This window comes from Homo sapiens, chromosome 9 (assembly GCF_000001405.40).
Source record: "Homo sapiens chromosome 9, GRCh38.p14 Primary Assembly".
NCBI classification, from domain to species: Eukaryota; Metazoa; Chordata; class Mammalia; order Primates; family Hominidae; genus Homo; species Homo sapiens.
The window spans coordinates 68,760,231-68,785,739 of NC_000009.12; the positions used below are offsets into that span (position 1 = coordinate 68,760,231).

Here is a 25,509-nt window from a genome sequence, read left to right on the forward strand (position 1 = left end):
AGTACTTCTCACAAATCAATAACAACTACTCTAGTTAATCAGAACTAAAAATATTGTTGTCAAACTACTCTTTCTCTGAAAAAGTTACTTTAACCATACATTCCAACCTGAAGCAAACAGAAGTCCTCAGTGAAAAAAACAGACAAACAAACAGGACTATTCCAATGAAATGCAATGGAGGTGGACAGTGAAACGTGGGAGTTAAGTTATCTATGACCAGTGTCTAGTGGTGTTTCTCATTAGCTGCTGAGGCTGGAGTTCTGTGAAAAGGAGAATTCATACCCACATTTCTCAGAGTGAGTTGTTGGCCTATCTAGTTGTTAGGACTTTGGGACAGTCCATGAGTGAGAGACAAACCATGAAGGTCAGCTCACTCTGCTGGACTCTTCCTCTAAGTTGTGGTTTAACGTTTAGCTAACAGAGACCCCATTGCTTATCTCTCTGTCCTCACCTCCAGACTGTAAGCTCCTTGAGTCCAAAAAACCATGACTATTTTGCTTAAAGCTCTGCCTCTAGTATTAGCATAATAATACGTAGGAGCTCACAAATATGCTAAAAATAAATGAGCATATGCCAAAGTCTCATCTCAGCCAAGCCTTGCTGGCAGGGGATGGAAAGGTATTTTTGGCTTCATTCTAAAGAGTCCTATTCTCAAATTTTCCTGTTGACATGTTCTACCTCATAAAAACACATACATATTTTCTGATGGTTGTAATCTGGCAGATAGTGATCATTTTGGTTTTAGTTTTAGTTTTATATGTAGCATTTAATCCTAGTTACTAGTAGCATAAGGAATTGGAGAATAATTGGAGAGAGAGAGAGAGAATGAAGATTCTTATATTGGCTATGCAACTAACTAGCTGTGAGGCCTGGAGTATGGTATTACCCAAGCCTTCTGATGTGGATATTTTCATTTGCACATTAATTACATGGAGTGGACCAGATGTTCCTCTCTGAGGTCTCTCTGGCTCTTGTAAAATGGAATGAATCTTGCATGCACAAAGCCTCAAAATTCCATACCAATTCGAATATATTTCAGACCATTGCTATAAAATTGCTGCAAAGTATTATGGTAGAGAAGGCAATGATCATTAAGATATGGTAGTCTGCTGGAGTTCTTGTCTCTCCTTTGGGGGAAGAAATACTCACATGCTTTAGAGATTACAGAAATAATTTATTTCTTCTCTGAGGTGAAATTTCCTATATTCATTTCTTATTGCTGCTGTAACAAATTTATACAGAATTAGTGGCTTAAAACAATGCAAATGTATTATCTCATAGTTCTGGAAGTGAGAAGGCCAAAATTGGTCTCACTGGACTAAAATTAAGATGTCTACAAGGCTGCCTTCCTTTTGGAGGCTCTGGGGAAGAATTCCTCTTCTTGCCTTTTCCAGATTCTAGAGTTAGGCTGCATTCCTTGGCTTATGGCCTCCTTCCGTCTTCAAAGCTGCAGTAGCTGGTTAAGTCTTTCTCACATCATACCATTTGTACACTGACTCTTGTGCCTCCCTCTTAAAAGAACCCTTGTGACTACACTGTGCTCACTGCATAATCCAGGATAATCTTATTTTAAGGTCAGCTGATTAGCAATCTTAACTTCACCTGCAGCCTTAATTCCCCTTGCCGTGTGATAGACTATAGTCACAGTTTCCAGGGGTAAGGATGTGGACATCTTTTGGCAGCCATTATTCTGCCTATCGCATTGCCATCTTTCTGAGTTTTTAAAGTTTTAACCAATAATTGCAGAGCTAGTAATTTATTTTCCTCTGTTCCCTTTTCGCACTCTGAATTAGTTAATGGATGGCAGGAATCAACTGAAAAAATTAGGGCTAAGTAATGTCCTGGATTAACTGAAGAGATTCTCTTCAGGGAAAGCTGTCACAATCTCCAGCTATTTCTTAAAGCTGGTTATGTGTAGAAGGTTCTTTTACCTAAGATCATGTTCCTATCCACAAAAAGACAGAAACTATGTCCTTTTAAAAGAAATAAAATGCATTATCTAAGCTTAATTTTTTTTATTTCTAATCAAAAATATCATAAATGTTTGCCAAAGTTCATTGTGCAATTTTTTCTCCCTGCTGAGCAGGTGGCTGAAAGTCGTGGAATGTTGTTTTTCTGAATACAGATTCATAATGCCCATAGTGAACATGCTCATTAAAATAGAAAAATTAGACTGTATTAATTTGCATTTCAGTCCACTCTTGGGTAGATTTGTTATGTGTAGTTCTCACTATAATTATCTGCGTCTTTGGAAATGCCACATCTATTTGCAGATTAATTATGCCATTATCAAAGGCTTAGAAGGAAATCTTCAAAATTCATTGTTAACATTTAAAGAAAATGCACAGGAAGCTGATATAGAAGAGATAAACCAGAGATTTTTCTGAGTGTACTTATAGTGGGCAACAGAACTAACACTTATCTTTAGGTTAATGGTATTATTTAGACTTGCACTTATGAAGTGTTGATTTAGAGGATAATACATTGGTTAAGAGGGCTCAGTGGTTAAGTTCCATTTCACATTTATTGTGATCTCTGTTTCAGCCACTTAGTCACTTAGAAACGTTTATGAGTGTATGGGATGTGCCACTTCCTTTAGAAGACAATGGGGATACTATCCTTAGAGCTCCCATACTGTACAACTCCACGTGTTAACATTTTCCTCACTCTGTAGTCTATATGAGTGGTACCCTCTGGAGTAGCGCAGTTATCGAATATGAGGCTTAATGCAAGGATCCTGGCATTCTCTATGACAGAGGCTGTGCACAGTGGGGAACAGATTCACAAACAGACTCATGTTATGTGTGAATGGGTACATACGGTAATAAGAGCACAGAAGAAGGGAGCATCTGACTTTTCTTAGGATGGACCGGGATATCTGGGTTTTTCAGAGGAAGCTTTGCTCAAACAGAGTCTTGAAGGATCAATAGGAAATGGTGAGACAAGAAAAAGTTGGATGATTTTCTGGGCCAAGCCAGCAGCCTGTGCAGAGGAAAAGAGGTATGCAAAAGCATGCTACATTTACAAGACTTGCAGATATTTGAGTATGACTTAAGTGTGAGATTCATGTGGGCATGTGAATGAGGCAAAGCGTTTAACCTTCCTGTGCTTTACTTCCCCATTTAGTAAAACCAATAAAACAACACTACCTACCTTGTGGGGTTTTGTGAGTTTTAAATGAGATATCATCAGTAAAATGCTTAGGTTAGGCTTGATATATAAAAAAGCACTCAACGAATGTCAGCTGCCTTTGAGACGATGATGATGATCACAATGATATTACATGAGGTTGAAAAATTAGGCAAAAGCTACAGATTCTGTGCTAAGGAGTTTTGACATAATACTGTTGGCTGGGGAAATTGTGAAGGATGTTAAAAAAAAATACAATTCACAGCTCTATAGATTTATAAACTCCGTGTCATCATTTAGCAAGGCTGATTAGACCCCATGAATTGATGCATACTACTTGAAATCATTTAGAGAGACTGATGAAGAAAAATGCCATTTTATCAATTTACACTCAAAATAGAAACCACTCAGCATGCTGTGATAATTATGGCAATGAGGTGGTGTATTTCCTTCCTATGAATTGGTAAATCTCCTTGAGCTCCTATGTGAACATCACATGGTTTCTTAAGTGAGGATGAGGAGAGTCAGAGTAAATGTAGATGAGTGCTTTGAAAGGCTGGTGGATTAGCCTTGCTCACTTACTACATGTCTGGCAGGGAGATGAGAAACAGGACCTGGTTGGTACCTTCTCTGGAAATGCTGGTTACACTCTGATCTTCTCCTCCCTCTCCTTTTACAGATATCCCTTTTTTGGACACCCCTCTACTATAACTTCTTTTTTTTTTTTTTTTTTTTTTTTTTGGAATCATCACCTTTGTTTCAGCATGCTTTCAGGAGATGTCAATGGTTTTCCAGTTCATCTTGATTTTTTTAAAGGTGGCTGCTCTTTGGTGATATTTTGGGGTTTACTTTTATCTCAACAATAAGTGGTCTCCATAGTGTTCATCTATTCATTGCATTCAGCACCTAAACAGTGCGTTATTTTTGGGAATAGTCAGTTCAACCCATCCACTGTGGGAGAATTCACAGTACTATTGATTACATAGGATGGCATTTTCACTTCTAAATGTCATCTTATTTTCCTAACTTGTTGTTTTAATCATCTCTAACATTAGATTTTGAGATCCATTCTGTTTGAGGACCTGTAGTTCAATGAATGAGTTGGGAGTATAAAATTTGTCTCATGAAGTTGCTATATTTGTATAATAATAAGCTTAACTCATCAAGTTACTACTGTAGGCCTTTAGAATTTGGGTATCTTTCTAGTGAATGCTTTAGGGATATAAACATTTATTTTACTGGATTTTCATACTACTGTTTAATGCTATAATGTTACCTTATACATTCTACCAAGCATTGTAAGCTCAGACAAATTAGGCAATAATTTGTCAAAACAAAAAGTAATAATGCTAGCAAAGACAAAGAATTTATGCTAGTTACAGGTGATAAACTAAAGCTTTCCTCGTCCTCACCTTCATTCTGTGGTCTCTTAACCATAAACATCAATGTAGCAAAGAAAAATTGATTTTGTAATTGATTTTGAAATTGTAATTACCTTGATTTCCTTAGTGATGGTTATTTAAAATACTGAAGCATTTTAAGCTAAATAAAACTAATTTTAAAATAAAACTAATTTTTATTTTAAAAAAAAGTGGAGAAGGCCCATGTAAATTCCCTGCCTTTTAGAACATGCATTCTGAATATTGTTTTAAAGCATTTCAACAAAAATGCTTTGATGGAATGCTACAGTCACTGCTCATTATCTTGAATTCACTTGCAGGTCATTTGTTCTTAACTGTTTTTTTAAAAAAGTGAGTGTTTACATGTTTTTACTCCAAAGGAAATCAGTTACAATTGTTCATAATGGGTGCTTATTTAAAAACGAAAGCTCTGAGAAAAACTGTGCTTCTAATTTTTAATATTTCAAACATTATAGATGTTGGCATTGTGATGAAACAAAACTTGCCACTAGTAACATTTTAATGGTCTTTTCCATGGAGCAGTTGGAGATGAAACTGTGTCATAAAATATTTATTAAAATGCTTATACTTTACTGAAAATTTGAGGGTGTACCTGTGCTGTACTGAATTCTGTGTTCTAGCAAATATTTCATAATGATGCCTAGTACAAATTTTTATTAATGCAACATGGAGAAAATGGTCGTTCTCTTGTCTGAGTTGGATTAAAGCAAAGTTCCAAGCAGAAGTGCCAGAGCTATTTTTAAATGTACAAGGCATGCATTTTTTTCTTTTAACATAAATTCTCCATCAAAATAGGACCTAAGATTTTAAGAAACAAATATAATTTATTATGGCTATTTTGTGTTTAGAGAGATACTAATAGATTAGAGAAAGTGATTTGCCATTTATTGAGAAGGGCCAAAAAGCACATTAAAATATCCAATTTGTTAGTAACTTTTGAAAATGCAAACTTAAAAAAGTGCCACTTTTTGTTATCTAAGTCTAAGGCTAAGAAGAATGATCATACCAAGGTTGAAGTAGAGGTGGAGAACAAGCACTGTCAGATCTGTTGGGAATGACAATTGATGTAGACTTTCTCAAGGGTGATGTGTTTACAAGAAGCCTTGCTATACATATCCTCTGATCTAGCAGTTCCACTGCTGGAAATTTAACCTTAGGAAGTAATTGGACAAGGGGCCAAAAAATAAGACAATGATATTCATGATAGCATTGTTTCTAATCTCAAATATTGGAAACACCTTAAATTTCCATTAGTAGATAATCAAATTATGGCTCTTTTATCCACTGAGTACCTTGTAGCTATATAGAATGATATTGTGTAGGAAAAGATGGCATAATATGGTAAGGAGGTGACAACTTGGTATGTATAATATGGTTAAAAAAGAATGTGCACTAAGACTTGGTGGATATCTATAACAAAATGTTAACAGAGGCTACCACTGGATAATGGATTGCAGGAAACTTTTACTTTGTTTTTTGCTGCTTTTTTTATATATGAAATAAATACATCTCTTATAAGCAAAAACTATTGTTATAAATGTATCTATCTTTGATTTAGCACTTCTACTTTGAATAATCTGTCCAACAAAATGAACGTACAAAGATCTTATATAATGTTCAATGCAGCACTGTTAAAAATAGTTGAAAAAAATTAACCTACCTGCTTATCCCCTATTAGAAATATGTATAAGAAGGTCATGGAATAGCCATACTTCACAGCCATTGAAATTGAAGATGTAAGTCTATATTTACTGATATGGAAAAAGTGTTCACAACAAATATGGAAAGGGCAAGTTAATAAACATTGCATTATGTAGATAGGTAGGTATGTACACAGATAAAAATCTGGAATGCTTTTTATTACAGTGTCAAAAGTAATTGTTTCTGGGTGATGGGATTGTGGGTAATTTTCAACTATTTTTTTCTATGTGTCTGTATTTTAAATTTTTTTACAATAAATAAATATCTCTTTATTACCAAAACAAAGGTAAAAAATCAACAATATCAGATATCAAAAAGGAGAAGTAACCAAAAAATATTGTTAGGTACTACATGAAACACTATGGAGATAGGTGAAGTAAGTGGTATTTCTAGGAAAATTTACTTTATTAAAGTGGTCCCAGGAGAGAGTCAGTAACCATGAAAGAAATAAAAATGTTATCAAAAGATGCTTTCTAAATTCAAAGTGCAGGCCCCCAGATAGCCCAAGTAAATTCTTCAAATAGTCAGGGATATTGATATTAAGTAGGGTAACTATATAGTTTATTGAAGGGAGCTTTAATTGAGAGAACCAGTATAAACTAGAATGCCCCATGTAAACCTGACAGATGGTCACATTACTATTTCAACTTTTTCTAAGTATAGAGCAAAAGACAGACTTTCAAGATTTTTTAAGATACCAAAATGATCTTAGTACCAAAACTTCACAAAGATAGCTGGCATGGGCATGTGCCTGTATGTGCACACACTGCAGATCAATCTTGATGCAAAACCCTTTCATAAAATACCATCAGATAGAATTTAGCAATGCAGTCCGGGCGCTGTGGCTCACGCCTGTAATCCCAGCACTTTGGGAGGCCGAGGCGGGTGGATCACTTAAGGTCAGGAGTTCGAGACCAGCCTGACCAACATGGTGAAACCGCGTCTCTACTAAAAATACAAAAATTAGCCAGGTGTGGTGGTGCACACCTGTAATCCCATCTATTCGGGAGGCTGAGGCAGGGGAATCGCTTGAACCTGGGAGGTGGAAGCTGCAGTGAGCCGAGACTGCGCCACTGCACTCCAGCCTGGGTGACAGAGCAAGACTCTGTCTTAAAAAAAAAAAAAAAAAAAAGAAAAAGAAATAATTTAGCAATGCATTAAATAAATACCATGATCAAGTAGGTACATCACAAGAATTTAAGCTTGGCTCAATAATGGAGAAGCTAGTCCACATATTAGATGAAAAAAGAAAAACCTGTATGGTCATCTTAATAGGTGCCAAAAATACTAAAATTCAACATCCACTAGTAGATTAATTTGGGCAGTGGTTACATGACTGTTTAAGTTTGTCAAAACTAACTGAACTATATTCTTTAAAAGGGTGAATTTTATTGCACTAAATTATATGCCACTAAAATGAACTTTTAAAGGAATAAATAAAATTATAAGTTTATAGTAACAAAAAAAACTGACACACATTCCCAAATAAAAAGAAAAAAATTAAAACTTAGTAAAATAAGTAGAATGCATTCCCATTTAAATCAAATATATAAGAATGCTGACTTTCACTGAAATTATAAACTGTACACGGAAAGTACCAGTCAGGAGATAAGGAAATAATAGACATAAATATTGGGGAGGAAGTTGCAAAGTTAACATTATTTGCAGATATTTCAATTGCACAGCTAGAAAGAATCAACTGAAAAATTATTGGAAACAACAAGAGAAATCAGTAAGATGGATGGCTAGTTATAACTATGCCGGTGGGAAGAGAAGTGGGAAGAAAAGGAAAAAGTGGATGTATACATGATTTGAAGTTTCCACCATCATTCATATGTATGTGACACACCCCAGGCCCTACACTAAGTGCTGCAGGACACTTTACCTACAAGACACAGTGGCTGCCCTTTTTCAGAGACCATGTAGCCAGAGACAGAAGTTGGGTATACATAAAAATGACAAAGGACTTTATGGAGCAGTGATCATCAAGGGGCAGAAGAGGAATTCACAGTCCTGGGGAAGGAAGGCATAGACTGTAAAGTAAGGAGAGAGAAGAATGGGTTGTCAGAGGTCACAGCTTGTCCTCAGAGCCTAAGACAGCCTTTAGAACCTTTTGATTAGGTCTACCCTATGTTTAACTTTTAAATTTGTTTTTTAGTTCAACATCTACAAATTGTAAGCATCCACATTTTTAAAAATCTAGATTTTTAACCTCTATTAAAAAATTAGAAGCTTGGGCAATGTATGGCATCCTTTTCTGCAAGGGCAGCTGTTGGGTGGAATTGAGCAGTAGCTGTCAGCCACCTTTAGGTGCCTGGGTCTCTCCAGTCTGTTAAGTGCAAATGCTCTATTCTCTCAGTACTGTCACCCATTAGTTATCTATCTGTTGTTGGCCCTTGGAGGCATTTCAATAGAAACCCCTGGTGCTAATAATAAAGTAAAGATACTGGGCAAACCTTCTCCACTCTTGGTCATACAACAGTACTTTTAAAAATTAGCTAGTCGTAGTCGCCCTGTTGGGAAAAGCCACGGAAGCATTTGAACAAATGATGAAGTGTTTGCCTCAGTAAATGTACAACTTGTTTATTCCCAGTAATGCATCCCTATTTCCCCGTATTATTTTTTAAATTGAAAAATTATTTTAAAAATTGAAAAAGAAGATTGAGAGGCTATCTTTGTGGGGAACTGGCCATTGTCTACATCTTCCTCAATGCATTCTTTCTTTTGAATTCTGAGGCATGTGCAGAATGCTTTTTAGCCCAGGGAAATCTTTCTGTTCTGTGACACATCATTAAGATTAATTGAGCCTTTCAATTTTACATTTTCCAAGAGCAAATTAAGTAGGAAAAATGGGACAGGTTTTCACTGTCACTTATACTGTGTTTTTTTTTCTAGCTTATATTCTACATCTGATGGTCAGATCTGTTAGGTATTCGAAAAGCAGTAGCATTAATTGCATTTTCCCTTCCTTTTTGCTGAAGGGCAGATGTTTTTATGTTGTTAATGGTGGGTTGGGTTAAACATAAGCAGCACACTGAAAGTATAACTAGCTATTATTTATGAGAAAAGAACAATGTAATTCCCCAGATTTGGCTAATCTAAAACTAAGGTTTATTTTATAGACTTTAAATAAATAAATATTTATAACCTATAATTTTGCCCTTAGTTCTATGCCCTCAATACACTCTAGGCTTTTGGTCCCATTTGTCTTTCCTTTTTTGTATCATCGGTATTTTTCTTACCTCTAGTTATTTCTGGGGAAAGAATGAATGTTTAAGGAAATTCTGTCCTCAAGAACACTTCCGTGGCCTGTCAAGGTGGCATGACATTGCTTGCTTTCCTCTCGTTCTTCATGAAAATGCCTAGCAGGGTACCTGGCACCCAGTTGGAACTTGAAAAATACTTTTTCAATTTGAATTAGCCAAATTCTGGAAAACGTAGCCTATCTCACTGCCTCCAGTTTCTTACCACCTGCCTACGGTGTGGCTCCTCTCATCTGGGTTTTCCACGCCTTCTCTCCTAGGCCTCTACTAGAGCTCTCTCCAGATCACCAGTTCCTGCCCTGAAAAATCAACAGTCCTTATTTCTTCAGCATTTCTCACAAGTGACCTCTGTCCTTCTTTATGCAACAAGCAGCACTCATGGAATAGAAAGGTCTTCGCTGGCTTCTGAATGAAAATTCAAGAACCTTTCTTTCTGCTCACTCTTAGGCAATAAAATGTCCCGCTACCATGTCAAATCACTGTTTCAAGCTGGTATCCCAAGTGTCCAGTGCTATGTAATTAGCTAAGCCTCCGACTTCATTATACCTACTCCTCTCCCTCAGGAAGGGGAGTGGCAAGTTTAAAATCTCAGCTCCTAAGGAGGGGCATGATTCTCTTCCTCTCTTTTCCTGCCTTTTGCCACCAGTCCTCCTGCACCTTGCTGGGGGTCTGACTTCTCAGGGTAAAAATAAGGATGAAGGAGAGAAGGATCTAGAATAATTTGAGTATTGACTTGGTTGTCTGGAGAGATTGTTGTGCAGTTCATGCTCAAAAGAAGTGGACTGGTACCAGTCTGCGGCCTGTAAGGAACCAGGCCACACAGCACGAGGTGAGCAGCAGGCCAGTGAGTCTTACTGCCTGAGCCCCGCCTCCTGTTGGATCAGTGGCAGCATTAGATTCTCATAGAAGCGCAAACCCTACTGTGAACTGTGCATGTGAGGGATCTAGGTTGCTCACTCCACATGAGAAGCTAATGCCTAATGATCTGAAGTAGAAGATCCCCCTTCCACTGCCCACCCCATCCCATGGGAAAATGGTCTTCCATGCAACTGGTCTGGTGCCAAAAATGTTGGGGACCGCTGCTGTAGTGGGTTTGGGGTAGAACTGAGCTCATGTGTAGATGCATTTGAAGAATCTGTGGAACATATAGCGGAAATGTATGTAAGTAACTATATATGACAGTCTGGAAATGTCAGCCCTATCTAGAGATAGAAATTTGAGAGATATCAGCATATCGATCATAGTTAAAACCATGGGAGTGGTTACTCTTTCATAGAGAAAGAGTTTAAAGTTAAAGAGGAATCTAGAGACCAAACATTAGGGAGCAATCCTTACAGACTTCATCAAGCATCCTAGCTCTCTCGGATGCCTTTTTCACCCTGAAGAAATCATTGGCTCCTTCTGAACCTCAGACTCCCTGCTGATGAAAGTTAGTGAAGGTGATTTCTAAAGTCCCTTTCAGATCTGACATGCTGTGGTTCTATCCCTTTGCATTAGTTTTCACAACTGCTTTGGGACAAATAGGGCATTTACTAATTGCTTAATTTTATAAACTCGCTAGTATCTGTAAGCCTACACAATTATATGGACCCCTCATCTATCTTTCTGATAAGCAGAATGGCTGTGCTGTACACCTCAACTCTACCAACAGTCTTGAAAGTAAACCTGGAACACCATGAAAATGACAGGTTTGAGGAACCCAAGTGTATTTCATGTGTGTCAATAGGGAGTGATGAATAAGAGCTCAGCTTCTGAAGCCAGACCCCTGGGCTCAAATTCCTCTACTGTCACCTCAGGCAACTTAGTTAACCTCTCCTCTCTTTGTCTCATTTCCCTTATCTATAAAATAAGGGTAAGAATCCTAGAAATCGAATGAGTTAATATACACAAAATACTTAGAAGGCTCTGGCTGGGTGTGAACTACCATCATGTGATAATGATAATGATAAGACAGCCTTGTCTGATGAAAAGGGTCTTAACTGTAAGGGCTGAAGGTTACTATCTTAGACTTATAGTTTTCAAAAGGAGAGTGAAGAAAAAAAATCTGTACCATTTCCTAATAAGTGGGAACTTTCAGATGGCTGAGCTCTGTGGATGATAAAAATTCATTTCCTACTATCAAATTGAGCTACAGGTGAAAAAGTTGTGGATACTGAAATACAGTTGTATTTAGTTTATAAATTTGTATGAGGTAGGAGGAATTAGAACACACCCACCCTTCTTTTTGTTGCACTTACTGGTCATATTTAGCTCAAAGGAAAGGTGCATGAAAAGGGAAGAAACTGCCCGCTTTCTCCATAATACTCCTTTTTATCTTAAAGTGTCTTAGAGGCTAAGGAATTCTTGGCTGTGAAGTTGTCACCTTCTAAAACCAAAAAATTTCCCTAAGGCATGTTGCTTATGAATCTCTAGGTTTGCAGCAGCAGCTTCAAACTTCTTTTGAACATTTGACCTACTCCTCCAAACATCCCTCTGGATGTCAGCTACGTAGAGGGAAAGACACACCTTAAGGAGCAGTAACTACTGAGACTTCTTGAATCTTCTCTCAGTTGCTCTTCTTATTTTGTCTGAGAGAGGCTGGGTTCAACCTGTTTGTCAGGCACAGCCAAACATGTGTCCTCCTGCAGTTTATTGTATGCCAAGAAGGATGGTGACATGACAGCAGTAATTCAAAATGGGGTTTTAAGTGAATAAATAAGAATAAGCCTCTGGGATTAGTCCCAATTGAAAAGTTCAGCGCTACCGGGGAGGGTAGCTGCTACTGTTGGGGATTAACAAATGGCTTGCTGCAGGGAATAGTATTCACTGATCCAGCTGCATTTTAGTTATTGATGGCCTCTCTGCCCCAGTGCCCATCTCTCTTCCCAGACACACAGATTCTGCTGGCAAAGATCTTAGAAATGTGGTTTTGCCCAATTATTCTACTCAGAAACTACCTGCTTGTATATGAACCTTCCAATTCATAGTTTTTAGACCACAGAAAATGTATAGCTCTATAATACTATTTAGCCTTAGGGAAGAAGATGAAGAAAGAATTTCCCTCCACAGAATCAAACTGAAAGTAAGAGAACAGAGAAAGCCTTCTGGTAAGAGTAGTGGAAAACGGGTAGGATCATTTTGCGATCACAGCACTGAATATGTGAAAAAAGAACTCTGTTATAGGCCCTTTACTGTTTGCAAGGCCTTTTATGGACACCATATTATTTTATCTTTACAACAAAAAGGCTGCATCCCCACTTCATAAGTGACAAAAGTGAAGTCTAGAGAGGTTGACAGACTTGCCCAAAGTCCCACTGCTGGAAGTATGATAATCTGACTCCAAGTTTGGTTCTTTCTTTGCTATGTCTTGCTGTGCACTAATACACTGAGCTCTTAAGATTCCCAAACACCCACCCAGCTGAAAGATCCAAGTATATAAATCCAACTAGATTTGCAGCCTTTGCATGTTTTAAAGTTAACTTTATACATTATCCATAAAGCCATCAGTTCCTCCACCCCCTTGGCAAATGGATTAATCCTTCAAGGGAAGGATAGTAGACAGACAGACAGAAGCATTTCACCAAAGAAAGGGCTATCGATTGTATTCTTCGATTATGGCCTAGGAGGGTTTTAATGTCAAAGAGAAGGCACCAAGGAGGTTCCTCTGAGGTTCCACTGAGGAACAAGGAGAGATATCACTCCTGTTTTCTATTCTATTCAAAAGACTTAAGGGATTAGAGACTGGGGGTTAGATGGCTATTTTAATTTAATATCTTCCTTTATAGTCCCCCATGGAAAAAACTAAACAAAGTAACTACAATCCACAATTACTTGTTTACTTGAATTGTGCTGAGGGCCTAGCCTGTAAGATTCTTCCATCAAGTCTTTGAGGCCCCTTTCTATCTGTTCACTGTCTCCATAAGAAGGATATGTCTCCGTGCAATGGTGTGATGCCTTTTCACTTTATCAAAGTTGAGAGGGCTCAGTAGCCGCTTTGTACACTTCTACCTTGATTTTCTAATCTTTGCTGTTGCTCTGAAGTTTTAAGGATTAGATTAAGCAATTTTAAGGTAGATAACATAGAGGGTGTCTGTACTTAACGGGCCCTCAATGATTATTTGCAAATTGAATGGTTGGTAAGTTTCTGAGATAATCTATTATTTTCTTTCATCAGAATAACCAAGTAAGTTCTTGGTGGCCAGAATTGTGTCCTTAAATGCAATTCTTATTCTTCACATATGTTCTAACAGCCCACGCTGAGTTCCTATGATGCTACTTTAATTCTGTTCCATTTCATGAATTATTCTAGGAGGATACCACTGAGAAGGCAACAGAGCCGACTTTGCTTGAACAAAATACACAAAGCTTGCAGTTGAGAAAATAAAAGGCAATAAAATGGGCTTCATTTCCTCCTATTGCTTTCTTAGAAGTAACTAACTTTAAGGGTACTGTGGGAACAGGGTCAAGAAAAGCTGATGGTTCTATTCTTGGTGATCTGTAACTGGCTTCGGACAAGTCTTCAGAGTTTATGTGAGGTTGCTGGAGTCTACTGGTGTTTAGGGCCCCAATGAAATGCAACTTTAGGGGTGTGTGTGTTTCTCTTTTCTCTCTACTGTCAAGCTAGTTCTCTTCCACTGATACTGTTGTGTGTCAGAGAGATTTGGAAGCTCAGCATTCCAGTTTAGATTTCTGGTTAGTGTTTGAATAAGATATCTTCCTTCCAATTGAAGTACATACATTCTTATCCTATTCTGTCCTTCTCCATTTACATTCCATGCTGTTTTTGTCCATATCAACAACATTTTAAGATCTAACTTTATATAGAAACGTGTATACATTTCAAATAGTTTGATAATGTTTTCCATATGTGTACACCCATGTAAACTAGCACACATATCAGGATATAGAACATTTTCTTGTAGCCCCTCTCAGTCAGTCCTAAGGGTAACCACTATAATAGTCCCCCTCATCCAAGGGGAAACATTCCAAGACCCCCAGTGGATGCCTGAAACTGCAGAAACCAAATCCTGTATGTGTACTGCTACATAGTACTACAGCTAATTCATCCTTCCATGTTTTATGTCTGGTGCCTCTTTTGTACTTTCATCAATGTAGATTCTACTGGACATCTTCCAGAAGAGGCCAGTTTCATTGCAACTGAAGTCTCACTCAGATAGTATCTTTTTTCCTTGATCAACTTCTTCAACTCTGCTAGAAATGTGGCAGCAGCTTCTTCATTGGCAGACAAAACCTCTCTAGTAAATTTTATATTTGTGAATCCAAACCTATTACCAAGTCGGTGTAACCATCACTTATTTGCAGTAAGTGGCTTGGTGTCACTCATTTCAGGGGATCCCTTGCTGAAATCTTCATATAGGCTTACTGCTTTCTGATGCAACACATTGCCATCAATTGGAATGCTTTCTGTTCATGTCTTCCACCCACAAATTTAATGCCCTTTCCATCTTCACTAAGCACTTATCACACACTGTCACCGTAACTTCTGCAATTTGAGGTGCAACAGCAAAACTAGCACATATTTCTTTTTCCTTCTTCACAACTTCATGGATAGAGGATTTGTTCTTACCACAGATCTTAGCAATCTCAGCATATTTTTTTTCACCTTTTCACTTAGAGGAAGCACTTTACAGCTTCTATTTGGCATATTACAATTGTCAGCATCACTACTGTTGTGTTTGGGGCCATTATTAAGTAAAATAAGAGTTACTCAAACATAAGCACTGCTACAGCAGTCAATCTGGTAACTGAGATGGCTACTAAGTGACTAATGGGCAGGGAGCATAGACAGCATGGATGCACTGGTTGTAGGGATGATTCATGTCCCAGGTCAGATGGAGTGCGACGGCACCAGATTTCATCATGGCACTCACTCACAGCAGCATGTAATTTAAAACTCATGAATTGTTTATTTCTGGAATTTTCCATTTAATATTTTTGGACCAACGTTGGCCACAGGTTAACCAAAACTGTGGGTAGGAGGGGACTACTTATTTTGACTTCTAAGTTGGTTTTGGCTGTTTGGGGACTTCATAACACTGAAGTCATAGTGTATGTATTCTTTTGTACTTAATTTCTTTCATTCAACATTATATTGTAACTCATCCATGTTGTTGGGTAAAGAGTTCCATTGTATAATTAAACTGTTTATGGTTGTTTGAGTCTGGAGCTATTACACATAATAATAATAATGCAAGAAACATTCTTGTGCATGTCTTTTAGTAGACAGATGCCCTCATTTCTCTTGGTTATATTGTCAGGAGCAGGATTCCTTAGTCGTGGGCTATAAATATATTTTCTTTTAATAGGTACAGCAAAATATTTTTCCTAAGTGGTTGTAACAGTTAACCCTAAGTTCCTATGGTTTTAAAGCACAGTTTTTTCTGCAGTATTTTTACTGTAGGTTGTTGATGCTAATTAACGTGGAACATTGAGGTATTTGCCAGCCCATCTTAGATTATATACATACACACATTTTTGTATTTTACATTCATTCAATTTGGATTCAGAGGTAGAAATTTGCCTTGTCATATATTTGGAAATTTAATAGTGAAAAATTGCCCTCAGAAATTAAAAGAAAACTATCTAATAATAATATTGTTCTAAGTGCCTACTCCCTGCTAGTCACTTTAAACATTCTAGTTCCACTTATTCCTCATTGAGATCTTATAAATTAGATATCAGATTGGGACTCTGTCCCAATTCTAGATATTGTTATGGTCATTTTTAAGCTATTTATTTATTTTAATTTTATAAGATGAGGTCTCTCTCTTGCCCAGGCTGGTCATGAACTCCTGGACTCAACAATGCTTCCACCTCAGCCTCCCAAAGTGCTGGGATTACAGGCGTGAGCCACCACGCCTGGCCCTAAACTATTTATTTTTAACCTAAAAATAAGTAATATTTTTTAAAATATAAGTAATATTTTAAAAATCTAATATTAATCACAATAAAGTTTAACTGTGGAATAGATGTCTGGTTTTGTGGCTTCACAGTGAGAATGAATCTTGACTAAGTGTGGTATTTAATTCATGGGAGTGAAACCGGAAGGGGGAAATGAGCCAGGGAGGTTCCTTGGATCCTGCCTCTGGCATTATTCATTTGCAGCTGGCTACATTGCATTTTATGGCTGCTATTTTCTCTCATTTGTCCTTGATTCCTTCGAAAGGAAGTAGTAACTCAATATATTAAACACTGCCTAGAATCCTCAGTGCTGAACATTTTAATTCTATCAAATTTTTATTAGCATATCGTTGAAAAAGAAAGAAAACCTAGGGCTTCAGTTTCTTAGGTCACATAATGGGTAGTTCCAGTAACACACCTGCATGGGCTGGAGGGCACTCTAAATAATAATAATATTCCTGATCTTTAAAAAATATATCAAGGTATAGAGCTCTTAGAATCAGTGTAGAAAAGCCTGTTAGACTGGATTTTCAAATAATAGAGTTCTCTTCCCTTTTAGACAAAGCTATATTAATCCATCCTTTCATTCATTATCATGCATTCACACAATGATTCAACAAGTACTTACTCAGTACAATGTGCCAGGCCCTGTTCTAGATATTAAGCATATAACAGAGAACAAAACAAAGGTCTTTCCCTTGTAGAGCTTACTTTCTCAGCAAAGAAACAGGCAAGAAAATGTATACATATATGTCATGTGGTACTCCGGAGGACAATAAAAACAGAGTAAGGGGCATGCAAATGTAGACTTGGTGTTGAGAACTGCAATTGCTTTTTATAAGGAACAGTTATGAAAGCCTCTCCATCAGTATTAATATTTGTGCCAGGACCTGAAAGCACTGAATCATACATGACTCAGTCAATTCTCTGTCCCCAGCTCTACAAGGACAAGGGTAGAAACTGGGAAACCAGCTAAGATCTCTAATAGGTGTGTTCAGGCAAGAACCAAATAGCATATATGTTTTATTTTGTGGGCTCATCACCATCCTTGTGTTTTATTAGTAAAGGTAATTATTATGTTTATCCAGACATGGACGAACAATATCTGGTACATTTGAGCCACATTGATAATAATGTAGTAATATGAAGTTAACAGTAATATGCTGTGGGTATTATAAATTGAGTTCTATATTTAATGTTCTTTTCTACTTACCTAATATTAATTTTTTTGTAGACATTTCCTCCTCTCTCCTGTTTTTATTGAATAATTTGTAGCATTCTTTCAGCCACTTACAGTTGAACTTCAGTCATTTGTGTCTCCTGTTCATCCTCTGCACAGCATGCTATTAGGTTCTGTTGTTGCCTTGTCTCCCAAATCCATCTCCTTCTGCCTTTCCCAACTTTGGTTTTAGACCTTTGTTTCGTCTCAGAATTAGCCATCCTTCTCTAATTCATGCGAAATTCTCTCTTTAATCCATGTGAAATTCAGAAAAAACAATACAGGTTTTTGAAATGAGTCCTTGATTCAAATTGGTTCAGATCTTTGTTCTTCCGTGTACTGGCTGTAGTGCCTTTTGCAATTTTTGAACCTCAATCGTTCCTTCGTAAAATGAGTATAACAATATCTATGCAGTGAGGATTAAGTGGGATTATGGAGTGTTTAAAGTGCCTAGCAGGGAGTAGGCACTTAGAAAATGTTGGTTCTTTCCACCTTGTGTTCTTCTGCTTCAGATCTCTTAATTTCTACAACTCTAAATGTGCTATTTTCCTCTCTCAGTAAATAATACTACCATCTCACCAGTTTAAATAAAAAAAGCTATGAGTCCCCTTCGAATAATCTATTTCTTTCACAATCTAAATTTAATCCATCTGCAAATCCTATTTGTTCTAACTCAACACATATCCTCAGTCTCTCTGCTTCTCCCCATTGACACTGCTACAACCCTAGTCCAAGAATCTTATCTGTACTGTTGCCATAGGTCCTGAATTCATCCTTCTGCCTCCACTCTGGTCTTCTTTCAGCCTGTTTTCCACAGAGCCTAAGTGATATTTAAAACATAAACCAGATAATATCAGTCCCCTGCTTAAAACCCTCCAGTGGCGTTTCATCATATTCAGAATGAGATCCAACTCTTACCCTCTCCTAACACTCCCGCTCTTATGCTTCAGCGGCACTGCCCTTTTTTCTTTTTCTGCTAACTCATCAAACTCATGGCTGCCTCCGGCCTTAGCACTTGCTATTCTCTCTGCTTGGAATACTCATTCCCCAGATGTCCACGTGACTTACTGCTTCTTGTCATTTAGATCTCAACTCTAATTGTCCCCTGACTTCTATCAGTAGTGCTCCATCACACCATCTTACTTTTCCTAAGGCTTACCACTATCTGAAAATAGCCTGCGTTTCTCTATTTTCCCCTCAGTAAGAATTAAAAGTTCATACTAGGGCCCATTTCCTAGCAGTGTTTGGCACATAGTAAGTATGCTGAAAAAAAAAAACCTTGACTGACTGAATAAATGAACAAATAAACTCACTTTTAATGAGATATCAAGGTTTTATATTAATTACATGAGCCAAGAATTGTGGTTTCATTTTTAAAATGTGAGGACCTACTGGTTTAATCCTTCATACTTCACACATATGCTTGTGCTGGAACTATGACTGTAAATCAATAGCAATACCATCCTCTGTTTTGGCTTCTTCCCCTAACCTAAATAGTTCTCAGATTTACTTTTCTCTCCATCTCCACTGCCACACTGTCACCTTAGTGCAAATGACCATCCTCTCTGGCCTTTTTTCTGTAAGGTTTTAATCTCCCAATATGTATTCTCCAGACTGCAGGCCAGTGAGCTTTTCAGTTGCTGTTACACCCATGCTTGAAAACCCTTTAAGTTTTCATTGTTCTCAAGATAAAGACCAGAATGTGGTCTGGTCCACCACCTCACGTCAGGCCAGCCCTCACTCTCCACTCCAGGCCACACTTTCTCCTCCCCTCCTGGTTCCCGCCTGCCAACTGGCTGGGTAGCCGTTGCTTCCCGCTTCCTGCAAAGTTCTACATCGCACCCATTTCGCCCACTTCTTCAGATTTCAGGAGATTGTTCCTTCCTCGAGGAAGCCCTCCCTGATTAGGCCAAGCGCCACTCCACGTCATACAGCCCCACATCACCATGGGCCTCTCTTTCAGGGCTTTGTTTTATGAGTATGCAATCCAGAATATGACAATCTTATTGACATGCGTCAACGCGAGCTTGCGCTCAATAGCTATTTGCCGAAGGAATATACGGACTAGCGGCCCGACCACTCCTCGCCCCTCCCCTACCACTGCCGCGCACATATTACGCATTAAGCAGGCGCCGCGAGTACGGACATCGCGAGCGCCTGCGCGAAGGGCTACGCATGCGCAGAGGGGCCAGCCCGCTGACAGATTCTCGGTGGCGGCGGCAGCGGCGGCGGCCCTGGACTGCGGGGAATGGGAATCCTAGGTCCCTGACTGAGCACCTCCCCCGCCTCCCTGCCCCCGACATGGCTCAGGAGAAGATGGAGCTAGACCTGGAGCTGCCTCCGGGTACGGGCGGGAGCCCGGCGGAGGGCGGTGGCAGCGGCGGCGGCGGGGGCCTCAGGAGGTCTAACAGCGCCCCCCTGATCCACGGCCTCAGTGACACTTCGCCGGTGTTCCAGGCCGAGGCGCCGAGCGCCAGGCGGAACAGCACAACGTTCCCGAGCCGCCACGGCCTGCTGCTGCCGGCCTCCCCTGTCCGCATGCACAGCAGCCGCTTGCACCAGATCAAACAAGAAGAGGGCATGGACTTGATCAACCGAGAGACGGTCCACGAACGGGAGGTGCAGACCGCAATGCAGATAAGCCACTCCTGGGAGGAAAGTTTCAGCCTGAGTGACAACGACGTGGAGAAATCCGCCTCCCCCAAGCGCATCGATTTCATTCCTGTGTCACCAGCACCGTCACCCACTCGGGGAATTGGGAAGCAGTGTTTTTCGCCATCCTTGCAAAGTTTTGTAAGTAGCAACGGATTGCCTCCAAGCCCTATTCCCAGCCCAACGACCCGATTTACCACCCGGAGAAGCCAGAGCCCCATCAATTGCATTAGACCAAGTGTTCTTGGACCATTGAAAAGAAAATGTGAAATGGAAACTGAATATCAGCCAAAGAGATTTTTCCAGGGCATCACCAACATGCTTTCTTCTGACGTTGCACAGCTGTCAGATCCTGGTGTGTGTGTATCTTCGGATACCCTTGATGGAAACAGCAGCAGTGCCGGATCTTCTTGTAACTCACCAGCGAAAGTCAGCACTACCACCGACTCTCCTGTGTCACCTGCCCAAGCGGCTTCTCCATTTATTCCACTAGATGAACTTTCGTCTAAGTGATTCACTCATCCTGAGACTTTCTTTTTGCAGTGGAGAGAGAGAATAATCTAGTTGGGGCAAACACTGAACTTTGTCAATTAATTTGAGGCTATTTCCTATTTGACCCCTTTTCTTTTTTGAAATTCCCTGAAATGATGTTATTCTAGAGAACTTCTATGTCAGGTTCCTTTGGATACCCTTGAATTCAGTGTAGTAATATTTTCAGACGTTTCCCCAATAAGTGTGTTGAAGCATACATCTTTACGCTGCTAATATGTCTAAATACATATGTTATCCCTTGATTTTTTTAAATAACTGAGAGCTCTATTTATTTATGGGATTATTAAGTTCTGATGAAAATATAAATGTTGACTTAATCAGCATAGTAAACTGATGTTTAAAATTCCATACTTCATGCCCACACTAATTTTTAATGTTATTTTCAGTGGTTGCCGATTTCCATTTGATGAAGAACTATACAGCTTAAAAAAATACGTTAGTTATATCTATCTAGTGGTTGTCTGTTTTACCCAGGAATTCTTGGATATTTAGTTTTCTGGGTACTGAAGTGGATGGGAGGGGGAATGATTAAAGAACAAATTATAAAAGTTTGAACAAATCTTTTCAAATTAAGTATATAAAAGTAAACTTTTAAGAAAAACATTTTTAATGAGATTTTAATAGTAATTCTAGTCAGTCATACAACTATAACTACTATAGAGAAAATAAAATTTTTTCCTTTTTTTTTTTAACCGGAAAGTGCATTTGCTTGGGTGTAATCCTAAAGTGAAATGGGACAGTGCCTTGCAGTCTTTGCCCACTATACATAGGCTAAGGCTAAGCTCTTTGTACTACTGCAAACTTAAAAGTTTTTCAAATGTGGGAAACGTGTGGGAAGGCTTGTTGAACTTTGGCGCACTCAGGTAAACAATACTCTCTCAATTGTTGATATACTTTAAAATATTCAGTTGTGCCTCAGTTCCAGAAATTATTGCCAAACAGGAGCCACAGCAATTTTTGGCTACTTTTCTGCTCTGCCCATCTGTCACCTTACTGGTTTTCCCTTGTTCAGGAAGGAAGCAGCTGTTTCCTTGCCAACAGGTCCCTTCCTCTCCATCTCCCACCAAACTAGGGCACCATTGATTAGACAAAGGTACAGTGTAACTTGGGTTTCTGACAGCAACAACAGGACTGTGAATTGTTTAACCTCTGTGGTTAAAGCTACAGCTTGAGTTGACTGCCTTGGGGATGTCAGTTAATTAAGGGGTGATGATTTGCAAGAGAAAATTAGTGGAGAGTCACATAGGTAAATCATTATTTAACTTAGGTTTTCCTAAAGTTAGAATAGTCGAATGTTCTTTTCTTTACCTTTACAATTAAGACAAAATGTTTAATAAGAATAGCAAAAATTTTTTTATATTATGCATCCTTATACCTCACATATCTTCCTTAACTAGATAGTTTGACAGAAAGAATGGCATACAAAGAGGAAAGGGGAAAAATGACTCAGAACAAGACAAAAGCTCTGACTGTTTAAAGTTATCGCTTACAGAGACTTTAACAATTTTGTGGAATTTTTACAACTATGAGAGTAAATGGAACTGGTCAACTCTTGACAGTTGCCTCAAGATGGAGTGAAATTGCATCGAGGGTAAGACTGTGTCCACAGGTTTAAAATTCTCTCTTCTGAGTAATAGTGTTCATGTGCTCCCATTCTCGACCCTGTTGTTGAAATTCAAACTTAAATAGCCTGACTTCTTGTTGGGTAACTTGCCCTGCCTCCAGAGGTATTTGAACTTCATTATCTTCAACACAGGAATTGTTAATCTTCTCACTTCACCTGTTCTTGCATTAGCTCAATTGATGTCATCACTGATTTCCTAAACTAGAAACTATGGAAGCATCTTTGACTTTTCCTTTTCTCTGTTGGATTAGCTTAATCACCAAGTCCTGTCAACTTCTGAAATGAATCTCAAATTTCTTCCCTTCTCTATCTGTTGCCCCTGATTTTGCCTTAAGTTCTTGCCTGAGTGATCTCCCAGCCTGTCTTCTGTCTCCTTTTGGTTCAGTCTTTATACTGCCTCTTGAGTAATCTTTCTGAAATTTAAACTTGATATTTTTCGCCCTCTTGCTTGAAAACTTCACTTGCTTCCCCATTTCCTACTCTTTAAGGAATGATTTCTTTAGCCTCAGATAGAAGGACCTTTATGATCTGGCCATATTCTGAAATAGCTTCAATCCTCTCCTCATCTCTGTTCCAGTATACATCTTTCCTTCTTATTCTGCAAACATTAGACCACTTGATATTCTTTAAATATGTCATGTACTTTTCTTGTGTCTGTTCTTTGGGATAATTCCTATCCTTTTCAGGGAGGCAAATTGCACGTGAGTTTAAGTATGAAGGCAATGTATACCTGCTGATTGTAAAATATTTAAACATTGTACATATCTGTGTGGTTTTAAAAGTCTGCTTTTAATTATGTAAAATTCATCTTCCCTTTCCACAGATAACTTCTGTTAACAACTTGATATCTATTGTACAAGATGTGTTACTGGCATTTCCATGTATATATGTATATAAATGCAGGAAACCAACATGTCATTGACACCTCTCTTCTTTACTTTTCCCCATATCTAATCATTCCTCAAGTCTTACTGATTTTTATCAGCTAGAATCTATCTCCTTATTTCTACCTCTATTGCCACTCTGATCCAGGCTACCAGCATTTCCCTCTTAGGCTTCTGAAGCAACTTCCTAACTCCCACTTGTGCTCCTCACACTCACTCTGGTCGGCTATCCATTCATTCTCCATACAGCAACTAGAGTCATTCTTTTAAAATTGCGGACCTGATCCTTCCATCTCCCAGCTGAACGCTTTTCATTTGCTTCCTGTTCTCATGAGTATGCCAAAATGTATTAATTCTGGGCTAGGAGGCCCTGAGGAATTTGGTCCTTCCCTCCTCCCCCCTCGTTTTCTGTGCTTCGCCCTCACTGGCTTGCCTTTCTTTTCCTTAAATACATCATGTTCTCTCCTATTTTAGATCCTTTTCCCCGAAGGTATGGAAACATTATTTCTGTAAGCTTATTCTTCTATATAGATGGGAAGTTTTTAAATCAGATAAGGTTCTAAGGGCATGTGGACAATTTACGTTATCATAGTATTGTTCATAACGTCCATCATTATTCTGTAGACTGTAAGGGCTTACTTAGCTCGTGTAAGAATTATCCTTCAAAAAGCATTTTTAAGGTATTAGTATTGCTAATCTATAAACTTTGTGCAAGAAGTCCTAAAGTCAATAGCAACATTTATTTAAAGTACAGTTTGTCATACTTAATAAACCTCTGGTATATTTTCCTTTATTATGCTTGTTAAAAACACAGTATAAATGGGAGAAATCATTAAAGATCATTAACTCCAAGGCTGCTGGATGTTAGGACCCTTAAGCATACTTAAAAGATTGATTGTAATCAAGAATAACTTGTATCAGATTGCCTTCCAGTGATTCACATTTATTAGTTCAACCAGTTACATACCTGTAGCAAGAGACCAGTTTATTTGGCAATAAAATTGGGGAAGGAATCAAGACTTAAATGAGGAAAGTGAGTCTGAGAACATTTTTTTTCAGGGTGTGTTTATAGATTAGTAGAACAATTTTGAAGATCTAACAGAGGTGGGAGTCAGGGGAATGGTTGCCAGACAATTGAACCAAGAAGATGATGATCATTTCTTGAGTAGCACCAGAGAACAGAAGAAAGAGTTGGCCTTGGAAAGGAGGTCTGGAAACTTATTTTTCTTCTGAAACAGGAGGGAGAGTGAAAAGGCTAGGCAAAGATATCCATAAATGTTGAATTGATTTGTTGTTGCAGGGGTTTAGGAGTATGGAGGTAGGTATATGAAAAGTAGAATTTGTTTCTGATTGTGCCTATTTTCCAATTATTGAGGAATCTAAGATACATGAGGATAGGGACAGGAGATCATTTGGAAGCTTGAGTGCAGTAAAGGTTTAATGTTGCCTCTGAGAATCTAAAGGAGTAAGTTAAGGACAAGTAGAAGGCTTATTAGGCTATGATGGATGCCAGGTTGCAGTTGGATGGCAGGCACAAGGAAGTGGGTTGGATTGACTAGGTTTGGGAATTGGTTAAGTGGGTACTAGGTAAAGCCCAGTGTGTGAAGTAGTTAAGGGTTCTGCTGAAAGTGTAGTTTGAATGATTGGCTGAGGCATTGAGGATAAGAGAAGGGAGCAGAGGCTTATGGACTAGACCACTTTTTTCAGGGCTTTACCTTATCAGCCATGACAAAGTATAGAGAATCTGGTCTCAATGTAGGTCTCTCACTCCAGCAGTTTTGCCCACATTTTTCATGGCTGTTAGAGAATCAGGGCTGAAGGCAAGCCTTGAGTGCCACTTACTTGGTAAAAAATTGTGTCAGATTGCTCACTGTAGCCAAGACAGAGTTCTTTGTGGCTTCTGTAACTTGCCATCCAAGTAAAAAAATTTTCTTAAAAGTTGAAATGACCTTTGTATAAAAAGTAATAAAATACTTGCTATGTGTCAGGGACTGTTCTAAGTGCTAAGCAAATATATCAATGCATTTAATCTATCACTATCATCTGAGGCAAGTGCTATCATTATCCTCATTTTATAAATGAGGAAATGGAGACACAGGTTGAGTTACTTGCCCAGGATTCCAGAGCTGGGAGGTAGGCAGCGAATTGTGGTGGTTAGGAATAT

The 25,509-nt window shown here is 38.6% G+C and overlaps 2 protein-coding genes across 15 annotated transcripts in view, besides 3 other annotated features; both read left to right on the forward strand.

Moving 5' to 3' along the window:
• Positions 1-25,509, forward strand: part of PIP5K1B (phosphatidylinositol-4-phosphate 5-kinase type 1 beta) — a 303,937-nt gene that overhangs the window by 54,991 nt on the left and 223,437 nt on the right. The window lies entirely within an intron of this gene.
• Positions 19,324-19,738: a silencer, noted in NCBI's record as "fragment chr9:71394470-71394884 (GRCh37/hg19 assembly coordinates)". NCBI's record gives its function as "represses an EF-1alpha promoter that drives an FKBP-Casp9 reporter gene in an ReSE screen in phorbol 12-myristate 13-acetate-treated (for megakaryocytic differentiation) K562 erythroleukemia cells {active_cell/tissue: K562(+PMA)}" and the evidence as "EXISTENCE:reporter gene assay evidence [ECO:0000049][PMID:32094911]".
• Positions 19,743-20,571: an enhancer, noted in NCBI's record as "H3K27ac hESC enhancer chr9:71394889-71395717 (GRCh37/hg19 assembly coordinates)". NCBI's record gives its function as "activates a minimal SCP1, AML or CMV promoter by ChIP-STARR-seq in primed H9 embryonic stem cells {active_cell/tissue: H9 hESC(primed)}" and the evidence as "EXISTENCE:reporter gene assay evidence [ECO:0000049][PMID:30033119]".
• On the forward strand, positions 19,835-25,336 carry PABIR1 (PP2A Aalpha (PPP2R1A) and B55A (PPP2R2A) interacting phosphatase regulator 1). The gene has a single exon (NM_138333.5). It carries the CDS (start codon positions 19,935-19,937, stop codon positions 20,796-20,798), a length of 864 nt encoding a protein of 287 aa, NP_612206.5. The 5' UTR covers positions 19,835-19,934; the 3' UTR covers positions 20,799-25,336.
• Positions 19,856-20,095: a silencer, noted in NCBI's record as "silent region_19930". NCBI's record gives its function as "represses an Ori minimal core promoter by ATAC-STARR-seq in GM12878 lymphoblastoid cells {active_cell/tissue: GM12878}" and the evidence as "EXISTENCE:reporter gene assay evidence [ECO:0000049][PMID:35858748]".